This window comes from Homo sapiens, chromosome 14 (genome assembly GCF_000001405.40).
Source record: "Homo sapiens chromosome 14, GRCh38.p14 Primary Assembly".
Lineage (NCBI taxonomy): Eukaryota > Metazoa > Chordata > Mammalia > Primates > Hominidae > Homo > Homo sapiens.
Genome location: NC_000014.9, coordinates 32,494,259 through 32,506,707, shown reverse-complemented (window position 1 = coordinate 32,506,707; position 12,449 = coordinate 32,494,259). Strand labels below are relative to the sequence as shown.

At 34.8% G+C, this 12,449-nt stretch overlaps 1 protein-coding gene across 12 annotated transcripts in view; it reads right to left on the bottom strand.

The window, feature by feature from the left end:
* Window positions 1-12,449, bottom strand: part of AKAP6 (A-kinase anchoring protein 6) — a 508,387-nt gene that overhangs the window by 330,977 nt on the left and 164,961 nt on the right. The window contains exon 1 of one of the 12 annotated variants that reach the window (XM_047431971.1): window positions 11,304-11,591. The exons of the other annotated variants lie outside the window; for them this stretch is intronic. The gene's annotated coding sequence lies outside the window, so the exon portion shown is untranslated. Of the gene's footprint in view, window positions 1-11,303; window positions 11,592-12,449 lie in introns of those variants that run through there. 12 annotated transcript variants of the gene reach the window in all.

The window sequence follows — 12,449 nt, the reverse complement described above, 5'->3', positions numbered from 1 at the left end:
TATAAAAATTAGCCGGGTGTGGTAGCAGGTGCCTGTAATCCCAACTATGACAAAAGTCATAGTTCTTGAAATCCTGGCTTCAGGCAATCCTCCTGCCTCGACTTCCCAAAGTATTGGGATTACAGGTGTGAGCCATGACACCCAACCCAAAAGCCACAGTTCTATTTGTTCTGTCGTGATGTAGAAACTGAAAATAAAAGACTACAAAGAGTAGCAAATGCTCTACTATGGGGTGACCAGTCCCTACCACATCTATATCAACTGTTCCCTGTCCCTTCCTCCAGAATTTCAGTCATGCTTGGTTGTAAGATCTGGCCTTGATTATGTATGCATATGTGAGTATCTAGACACACCTAGACTTATCGGCCATTAGGTGAGGGCAGTCCATTCATTAATCAATAAATCTGTGAATGGATCAGTTATCCAGCCCCTGATTCAGAAACACATAAACCCAAACTTGTTTAGCTATATCAATAATAAATAACAACTTTATGGCATTTGCAGTTTATTAACTTTTTTATGTGTATATCTCATTTTATAATTATTATCATTATTATTATTATTTGAGATGGAGTCTCACTCTGTCACCCAAGCTGGAGTGCAGTGACATGATCTTGGCTCACTGCAACCTCTGCTTCCCGGGTTCAAGTGATTCTCCTGCCTCAGCCTCCCGCGTAGCTTGAACTACAGGTCCATGCCACGACGCTTAGCCCATTTCTTATTTTTGATCAAGATTAATACCCAGCTTAACCCTGCTTACTTACCCAACACTTGACCCTTAATAATTTTTGCCTGTTTTTTAAAAAAATCTACCATAAAAAGCATGAAAATTAGCCACCATGTAAGACTTTCAAAGAAAAATGCAAAAATGTCTAAAGGAGATTTCAAAAAATGAATTCTCAAACTACTGTGCATATTATCAGACTGTAATTGTGAAAAGAGCTACAATTATTTGATATAAATACCGTATGACTTCTTAACTAAGTAGAATCATCTCTATTTATATATACCTCATAAATAAAAATATACATTTTGCATGTAACATAATACTTTACACATAACACTCAAGTGATACTTTTTCAATAATTTTTCATAAAGACAGAATAAGTATTACTAATTTTCCCTTTTGGCTTAGGCTCCAATATGGCTTGGCACAGCATTGTTCTTATTTCTGTCTTTGTTTAAAATTTTGATATTTTGTTCATCATGGATTTGGTTGCATTAATTTTGGTTTTCAAAAATACTATATTAAAATATCATATATCTTGATTACCAAGTTTTTTTTGTCATCCTCTTAAATTTTGTGCCTGAGAAGTCCCTCATTTGCCTCACCATAGATGCAGCCCTACCTTGGCCAACTCACTGATTCAAGGCAGATACGAGATATGTGAAAAGGAACTTGCCTGCTAAGCCTGGCCAACATCAGCCACCTTGAGTCAACTGCAGTGGTTTGTCATATAGAAAGAACCAACTGATAATTAACACTAACAATTATAGGTCTATACAAATTAAGTACTTGGAGCTAGTGGGCTCTAAGAGTTATGATTATGTTATTTGAAGTTTGCTGTGCCTATCTGGAAAAATTAATTAGAGGTTATAGTAGATTGTACTCTTCATTTCTAATATTCAGTGCTCCTCCCTATGAAAGGACTGTACTTCCTTGCACCATTGATATCAGGCTTGGCCATATGACTTGCTTTATACAATGAAATGTGAGCCAAAATAAGGTAGCTGGAATTCTAAAAGCCATCAATTGGTTCTGTTGTCACGCTTTCCTGTCTGATTTCAGAAGACTAGTATATCCCAGATGGAGCCACTCCTTTAGTGTAGTCCCAGATGACAAAGACATGGAGCAGAGCTGAGGCCTACCCTAATGGGTATGTAACATGAGCACGACTGTATCTTATTGTTGTCAGCCATGAAGATCTGAGAGTTGTTTATTGTGACAAAATAACTTAATGAAAGGTAATGGGACCAGAGGAGTAACTATTGGGAAGAAAAAGGTAAGCCTACCATTATTCAAAGATGATATGATTGTATATTTGGGAAAACTCAATAATTGACTAAAAATTCCAAAAAGCAAAAACATTCAATCAGATAATGGAATAAAAAATTAATATCTCCAAATGGCCAGGCATGGTGGCTCATGCCTGTAATCCTAGCACCCTGGGAGGCCGAGGTGGGGAGATTACTTGAGCTCAGGAGTTCGAGACCAGCCTGGCCAATATGGCGAAACCTGTCTCTACTAAAAATACAAAAATTAGCCAGGTGTGGTGGCACACACCTGTAGTGCCAGCTACCTTGGTGGCTGGGGCAGGAGAATTGCTTGAGCCTGGGAGGCAAAGGTTGCCATGACCCAAGATCATGCCACCACACTCAAGCCTGGACAACAGGGCAAGACCCTATATCAAAAAACAAACAAAACAAACAACAAAAAAATTAATACCTGAAAATCAATAGTAATAAAATATACAAATAACAAGCTCTTTTTAGCTATAACTGAAGGTTCCATTAACAATATAGCAATAACAAAGATAAAATACCTTAGAATAAACTTAAGAGAAATGTGGAAGACCTAAATGAAGAAAACTTTAAAGTACTATGGAATAATTTTTTAAGAAGAAAAATTGAATAATAAAATATATTATTGGATAGGAAAACTCCATATCCTCAAAATAGCAACCTCACTAAGCTATTTTATCAATGTATGTGTATACTTATAAAATAATTAATATATCAATATAATGCATTAATATATGTTAATATAAATAATAACAAACTTGCCTTTTTATGGGGGGAAGGGTTGAAAGGTAGGATGGGAAAGAGTTGGATTCTAACAAAAAAATGGACAATAGGAATAGTCAGACAAAACTGAAAAAAGGGCAATAAGGGCAACCTAGTCTAGCAAATATTAAAATATATTGTAAAGTCTCAGTAATTAAAACTATGTGATTGAGACAAGAATGCAGACAGATAATTGGGAAGAATAAGTCAAAAAATAAACCCAAATATATATACATGAGTATTTGGGCATGTGATAAAGGGGGCATCTCAAATCAGTGAAGAGTAACAACTAGATAAATATCTGACAAAAAGTAAGTTGGATCCATTATACATCTTGATAAATCCCAAATGTATCAAAGATTCAAAAGGGGATCAAAATGTAAAAATTACTAGAAAAAAAAACCCTGTAAGTTACATATAACCCTGTAGTGAAGAAAGACTTCTGAATTCAAAATCCAGGGCCATTAAAAGAAAGATAAATTTGACTACAGTAGAAAAAGAAAAGGAATGCATAGTAATGAAAAAAGATGCCATAAGTAAAGTCAAAAGACAAATGAAAAACTGGTAGAAAAAATATTGCAGCTTATACCACACAGCTTATCCCCATAATAAATACAGAGCTCCTATAAGTCAAAAAAGAAAAGACCAACAACACAACTGAAAAATAGGGAAAGGATATGAGCACAGTTCATAGAACAAGTAACACAAATGATCGTTAAACATATGAAAAGATGCTCACTTTTCTCACAGTAAAAGAAATATAATTTTAAGCTACACTAAAATATCATTTTCAGACACAGAGCAAAAAAAAATTTCATAACACAATCTATGGGGAAAGGCACATGAAATAGGCACTATTAAGTATTCCTGGTTGGACGGTAAATTAGTGCAACCACTGTGGAAAGCAGTTTGGCCATTTCTATTAAATTCCAAATGCATATACTATATATATTGACTAGCAATTCTACTTCTGAGAATTTATGTATGCAATATGTTTACATTTTTTGTGAAATGACTTATGTTCAAGCTTATTTATTGCAATACAGTTTGTAATATCCAAAGATTGGAAACAGACTAAATGTTCATCAGTATGGTACATTTATTCAGTAGAGCACTACACAACTATAAGAATGAGGATAATAAGAAGACTTTATATTCTGACGCAGAAAGATCTTCATGGTGTATAAAGTTTAAAAAGCAAGGTGCAGAACAGTATGTATAGGATAAAACAGGAGGAAAACTAAGAATATATATTCACATTTGCTTATAAATGCATATACAAATTCTAGAAGAATATGCAAGAAGAGAAGAATGAGTACCTACAAAGTTGGGTTACAAAAGGGAGAAACTGTTAGAAAGGCCAGCTCTCTGCATTGGAGTATAAAAGGTGGCGTTTTCACTGTATATCTTTTCATATTTTTAAATTTTTGGCTCTGTAAATGTATTTCATATTCACAAATATAAGACAGACAGCAACAAAAACTCTAAACCAGTTTGCCGTGGGTAATTTAAAGCTAAAGGGCAGTGGTCCAATTAAACTGTCTTCAATAAAAGCTGCTCTTGATGGACACTTGTGTTATAATCAGTAATCCATGGAGAGCAGTCACTCTTTACCACCAGTCTCCTTTGAGGAATATTTATCTCATTTCTCCATCTAAAATATCTCCTTTCATTTAAGAAATAAAACAGCTTATCCAAGCACTTCAGTTCAATAATTTCACCATTAAGAGCACTTCTGTTACTATTCTTCTAAGCACTTTTAAAAAGCTAAAAACTTCAATTGAACAGACTGTTCATTATAACATAAAATACAATTTATACATTGATTGAAATGGCTTGATGAGGACCTTAACAATCTTTTGCTTTGAATGAGGAGCTTCAGTATGAGGAAGGAAAAGGCCCACTCAAAATGATAATGCAATGCTGAAAATAGTACTATTAGTTAAACGATCCAGTAATAAGGCATATTTGCTTCATTATACTGGGCGCTTATCATTTTCTAAAACAGAAGTAATAGGATACTGTCATTAAGTCAGAGTACAGCCTAGGAGAGCCAATGTGATAAAATATTGAAGACATAGGTTTACTGCAAGAGCTGCATCTACATGCACAGAGTTAAAGGGGAGGTTGAAGGACAAATAAAGGAAAGAAAGAAGGGCAGTCTGATGGAAGAAATATCACTCCAGAGAGTGAAGACCTCGCATCTACTTACATTTTCTCATTAACAAGAGTGTCAGTTAATCTGCCTGGGCATCAATTTCCTGATCTGTAAAATATGGTAATAATAATACCTTATGCTGTGGTAAAGACTCTACTCTGTACTCGCCAAACCTATTTTTTTTTCCTCCTGGGCACACAGCTAAATGACATTTTCCAGGTGCCCTGGGCAGTTAGTTAGATCAGGTCATATGGACTAAATACTGGCCAATGGAACGTGGGTAGAAGTGATATACTTTGGTGCCAGGTTGAATCCTTAAAACTTCCTTTGAGATATTTTATGTACTCTCTTTTCCTTGTCTGCTGACTGGATTCTGAAGATCGAGGATTCTGAGGTCCTAGAAAAATGAACCTCTAGATCTGTACTGTCCAATGTGGTAGCACTTGAAATGTTTTTGCTAGTCCAAATTGAGATGTATTCTAAGTATAAGATACACACTGGATTTCAAAAACTTTGTGTGCAAAAAAGAATTTGAAATTGTTTATTAATAATTTTATATTAATTACATGTTAAAACAATATTTTGGACAAATTGGGTTAAATAAGAGATATTAAAATTTATTGTGTTTTTACTTTCTTGATTTAGAAAATTTAAAAATCGCAAGTATGATTCATTTGTGGCTTCTACTGTATTTTTATTGGACAGGGTTGCTTAGGAGGGAAGGAACCTCAGTCCTTGAATAACTGATAGAGCAGAGCTTTCCAAATACTTTGGTGTGCCACAGGCTAGAATGCACTTGCAATGGGAAACTTCAGGGCTTGACCTTTGTTCTTTAAGAGTCCATTTGAAGGTTCCCTGTATACATACCTGCCCCAGTTAAGGTAAAGGAAAAAGGAACTTGTTTATACCAAGTCAGGATAAAGGGAATGGGGGAAGGTATCTTATGATATGGTGGTGACTATGACCATCATACCTGTAGACACTAGAAACATCTGGCATAACTAGCAAAGAAAAAGAGAAAAGGTTGGGAGACACAAAGATCAGTCAAGAATACACAGCCCTTTTGATACAGACTTTTCCCCATATATGGTAATTAAGACTAAAGTACAGAACTTCTCAGGGAAGCTTCTGTACTCAAATCTTCACCATTCTAAGTAGTATTAGCACCTACACTGGCAACACCATACCAATTCTGGGTAGATATGCTGCATGAACACAACTTCAACCATTGGCACCTATGCATCCCATATAGTAAGTGTGCCCTCCTTCCAACCAGGGACTCTGGGGAAGTATGCTCAGCGTCACAGAGTGACAGAAGTATAGGAAGTGATCATTGGTTCACTATTGTATTATCCCTCTGTCCTTGTAATAAGAATCACATTCAGACATAATGCAATATTCATTTTAAGCTAGATGTCAATAAATAATCTTATCAAGTAAATACTTCATGGCAATCTGCCAAATGAACAGGTCATGGGTTATGTGTGGGTAACTACTTCTCTACAAAGCACATTCAAGTATTTTGTTAGCAAGATCATTGCTTAAAATAATCTGTTTATATTTCCTGCTGATAACTTCATGGATCATGCTGATGAAACATGTTAAGTGAGTTTTCCTTCCCTCTTCTCGTCTCTCTTTTCTTGAAAGTAAAGACCTAGTCTAACTGGATAAAGTACAAAGATCCTGGAAAAAAGAATCAAAATCTGAGTTTTGGGTGTTTCTTAGACATATCAATTACAATTAGATTTTTATAGATAAGAGCTAAATATAGATATATTGTTTTGGTACATACAAATACAAATTCTTACTGCAAAGCTTTAGTTTTTTTAATCAGGTACATATGTACATATTTAACAAGTTCTATTCCTAATAATAGGTCTTTGGTATGAATGAGTATTCATCAACTAAAATTGTCAGAGTTTTAGGTTAAAAACCATGTAACAAACTAATACTGTGTCTAATCTCGCTCTCTTTTTAAGTGATTAATGATTGAAAAATTAAACATGTAAAATATATATTAATAATATTCAGTATCATTTTTAGTTTTATAATACATACCAATGATAAGATTAATAAATATTATGTAAATATCTCAACCATCATGTAATATATTAATAGTGATATTTAATATTATTATTACAGTGTCAAAAATGTTATCCAAGTTCTATTCTGAGCAACAATAACACTGCTTTGTATTATCTACCATATTTATCTTCTAAACAGTGTAAATTATAATACAGAAAGATCTGTCTACATAAGACTAAAATCAAACATCATCCAAAACTGAAGGAGGGAGCAGAACAACTTTCCTAATTGTATAAAAAATGACAGCCCAGGCTGGGCACAGTAGCTCATGCTTATTATCCCAGAACTTTGGGAGGCTTAAAAATTAAAATTCCTTCTTCCACTCTTTCTCTCTTTTTTTTTTTTTTTTTTTGCTGTTACACTTATTTTTTATCATGTGTTTTAAGTTTTTGTGTTGTGAAATATAGCTTGATAAAAGTTGATAAATCATAACAAATAATCATAAGGTGAACACATGTGTAACCACTACTCTGATAAAGAAATTGAACATTGCTAACAGCCAAGATGCTTCACTTTCTTCAGGTAATACCCAGTTCATGAAAGGGCTGAACAACAGCTCCAATTTTTTCCTATATCCTCCATGGTACCAGGGGCAAATATTCATTCATTTATTTGTTCAACAAATATTTACTGAGTGCCAACAATGTGTGAGTACTCCACTAGGTAGTATGTGCTACATAGAGTATGGAAAGCAAAGGAAGGGTTCCAGTAAAACCCCAGACATGGACCAAAAAAAAAAAATTATTGAAGGTATGCTGATTACAAGGTAAGTGAAGTTTCTCAATGAATGGAACAAAGTATAGATTACAAATTAATTGCTACCTTTTTGGACATATGTAAATGAAGTTAAATTGTTTTTGGCTCTTACACCTTGAGAGATCTTGTGAGGCCAAGGGATGTCCTCTTACACCCTCCCGCCCACTTACCCCTCTGCCACATGATATCTTGAGTGCACCAGAACTGGGAATAGTTCTCGCTCCCTGACTACAGTAGTTTCTTAAGGGCAAGACCAAGTAGTGTTGCTCATCCTCGAATTCCCAATGGCTGACCTACAGGAAAGCCTCAATTAAAAAAAGCAAACAAACTGGTGGATTAATGAACAAATATTTGCTACATAAAATAGTCAATATCTAAAATAAAAGTTTTAAGGCCAATATCTAAAATAAGTTCTGTTGTGGAATTTTCCCTTAATATAAAGAAGTCATGCCTTAAGATGTTGATATACATATTGATATATTTGATTACTAAATAGTGCTTAGAATTCTAAGTGTTAAAGATTATTTTAATTTTTAAGGTATCTATAGAAGCTAGAGTTTCATATGAATGACTGGAAAAAAATGGCTCCTGCACCTAACTCAGGAGACATTAATTGTTATATATTCAGGACTGATATTCAGCCAGCATGCACCAGTGAAGCCATACCTTTTATATCTGGCACTCATTCTAATTGGCCAGTGCTCATTTCATGCTAAATGTTAAGTATATGAAAATCTTGCATTATGTGGGCTGTAAAATGACAGTCACATGACAATGGAGGAGGAAGGACTATAAAAGCCATAACATTGTAGAAATGGAATTGTAGAAGGACGACTGAAAACTATCAGTGAATTCTACTTATACCTTGATTAATCGAATAAGTATTTTAATAAATTAGTTTCACAGTTTTTACATAAATACCTTAGATTGAAACTCCCTAAAAAAGAAAAGACTTTCAAAGAAAGCTGAAATGGCTATATTGACATGAGAAAAAGTAAATTTCAGAGCAAAGACTATAACCAAGGATAAAAAGGATCATTTTATAATGATAAAGGGATGAGTTCATCAAGGAGCACAACAATCCTAAATGTTAATTCACCTAATGAGACAGCTTCAAAATACATATAGCAAAAACTGAAAGAACTTCAAGGAGAAACAGACAAATTCACAATTTTAATTGGAGATTTTAATGCCCCTCTTTCAAAAATTGATTGGAAAAAAATATATATATATATAAAATCACTAAGGGCATAGAGAGAAGATGTGAACAACACTAGCAACCAACTTGACCTAGTGCCATTTTAGGTAAATTAGGAGAGTCAACCAAAACAGTAGAATACTTTCTTTTCTACTAAAACAGTAGAATACATTCTTTTCAAGTGTCTATGGAACATTTCCCAAGATAGACTATGATCATAAAATGAGTCTCAATAAATTTTAAAAGATTCAACTTATAAAAAGTATGTTCTCTGACCACAACTGAATTATAGAAAGACTTTTGGAAAATCCCCAAATACTTAGAAAAGAAATAATGCACTTCTAAATACTCCATGAGTCAAGAAAGTCAAAATGTAAATGAGAAAGCATTTTAAATGAATGAAAACAAACATACAACATGAGATTCTCACTAAAAGCAGGACTTAGGAGATAATTTATAGCACCAAACACCTATATAAACATGAGGAAAGGTTTCAAATCAATGACTTCAGATTTCACTCTAGAAAAGGAAAAAGAACACTAAGATACTATGCATAGAGAGACCCTAACACTGTGACACACATTCGATTACTGGCAAGCTATCCAGAGGATGAACTTTCTCAAAGATAACCCCCAAATCCTGCTAAATATCAACTCCCAGCCATTGAGGATGTATGCCCACGGTCTCCGGATCTCAAAAACACCGTAGGCAGCACTTGGCAGAAACATAAGTTCTTTTTAAGAGACCAAACAAAGAAGTTAAGAATTAAAAGAAGGACATAACACATGCATACTGGATTTATTCACAGGAAGTAACTCTGGATGATCTACTTTTTAACTAGACAGCTCTCATACTTCAATTATAAGAATATATTTGGTTCATACGACTACTGTTGGGCACTTAAGGCTAACCTTTCATTAATATGAGTTAATGTTCATTAAATAACTAGGTTGAGCCATACAAAATTGCCATTTTTATAGGTCAAAAATTGTCAAATATTGGCAATTTCATATGGTTCAAGCTAATAATTCCTGAGGCTGCAATACATTAACAATATGTTAGATGGGTAATAATACTGCAGCTTTTCAAGTATATTAGTGACATTAATATACAAACAGTAGGAAAATATTCTTTTCAACTTTTTTTTTTTAATCTCAAGTCTCAGACCATGACCCTTCTCTCCAGAAAATCTTTCTCCACCGAAGGCACAATTTAACATCCAATATATCAATAGGCCACTCCCAAATCCCCTTAGACATCCTTCTAAGGACCCCCAAGGGCTTCATGTGATCATATAATATACATATATATACACATGTACATATACATGTACATCTGTGTGTATACTTCAAGATCATAAAAATGCAGTTTTTGTTCCTGAGAAACTTATCCAAAGTTATGCACCATCAGTGAATCTCAATTTAAGAACCTGACATGCAAAAAAGAACCATCAAAGCATAAATTTAGTTGTAACTCTCTATTCATTTTATACATAGATTCCTTAAAAGTGATCAGCTTTCCAAGTATGTGTTAAGTCATTCTAATTACAAAACCTGATTTACATGTTTTAGGAATATGTCTGTCATGTGACATGAGGTATAAGTTTGAATAAATGCTGGATTAAATAACCTAATCAGGTAGAAGTCCCAAAGCATCATTTACAGCATTCACATACTTATTATACAGCATTTGTATACTTACTTTATGTGCCAGATACTTGAAGCCAAAACTAAATTTGATACTTTATAATACAGGTCAACATTGGGGTAAGAAGAACAACAATATTGCAGCAATTTATGTTACTTACACTGATACGGGCACAAACAGTAGTTTAACTGAGTTTATTTGGAAAAGAGTAGTGTTGATTTTCATCTTACTCTTCAAATAAAACCCAGACCCTATTAAGCAGTTTAAAAAAATAAGAAAACCATATGTTCTGGAATATACTAACAGGCTTAACATTTTCTCCCACTGTTTCCCACAAACACAAAAGCCTGCCTTTTGGAACAAGAATAAGGAAAATAAAACAGAAAAGAGGAAGGTAAATTTTAAAGATGCATTTTACCACGCGCCAGATAAGTCGCACTTTGTGTGAATGCTCTCAGCCTCCCTTATGTCCTAGAATTTAAGTGAACTTGGGTAACAACAATACGAAGACGTTCATTTGGCATACTGTCTAGTTAGGGAGTGAAGCAGTGTCCACTAACATAAACGTGCTATGTGCAGGAGAGAGGCTTGAGATTCTCATGCCCAACTCTGAAACTGAACAGTTTAATGACTTCTGTCAGTCTTATAAGGAATGCCAGATAAACAACAGCCTACCTGAACTGCACAGCAAGAGGTCCAAAATGTGGTGTGGTCCTAAACAGGCTGCTGTCACTTCATGTCCCTCAGCCAAGCCATTCGCTTCTGTCAGCTACTCCACCACCAACCAACAGGTTGAAAGCAGAGCAGAGAAAGCCCAGATCTTGTAACTCAAGTCGATTTGGTTTTTCATCAGCTGTCTCTAGTTAACCAGCTTTACAAACAGAATCTAAAACATAACATATGACTTTCTTTCCATACCTGAACACTTAAGGTCTAACTGCCTAGACACTTGTTATGAACTGTAACTATAGCAAGGTTTCAAATCCTCAGTCACTCAGCTCCCAGACTGCTAAGTGGAATTTCATTCCACATGTGCCCCCACAATTAACAGGGTTATTTTAGGCACTGACCTAAGTTCTCAGAGAATGTAAGCTGATGGCAAAGGGGTGTCTAATGTGTCAGTTGCTTGGTTACAATAGAAAGCTCACATGTAAAGCTTACAATCTGTGTGCAGTGCTTCCTCAACACCCCACAACATGGGGTGTAGTTTACTTTAGCTGACGGGAAACACTGAAGTTATACACCTATCTTTAAAAACCCACAGAGAGCTTAGACCCATCACTAATAAACATAGAACTATGACAGTTTTGTTAGAGATGTGGATTGTTAGGGAGCATAGAATTCAAGAGAGGCATGCAAGTGACTTGGACAGCTGTTTTACGGAGCAATTTCAGATTCCGACTGCAGTATCCAGTCACATAGTGCATCATTCCCCAGGAAGTCCCAGTGAAAGTAAACTAACTGCCCAGAATCCTATAAAGAATACTCATTCCCTTCATAGAGAAAACTATAAATACAAGAATACTCTAAGCATTTTTCATAATTATGAAACTTAGTTCTCCTTTACAATGTGACACATAGCTACTAAAGCATGCTACCTCTAATAAAGTACTCCACTGACTGGCTAATATGACTGTTTTGCAGAAAAGAAAAGAAATTAGCAAAAAAATAAACAGTGGAAGGAAAACGCATAGTGCCTCCTTACGATGTGAGTTCCTCCATGCCAGCACTGAGCATTCTGAATCCCAGAAGTAACACAGGATAAATTCACAAATCTTCCAACTTCATCATCAACACCCTACTCATGGTTTCCACAAAAGT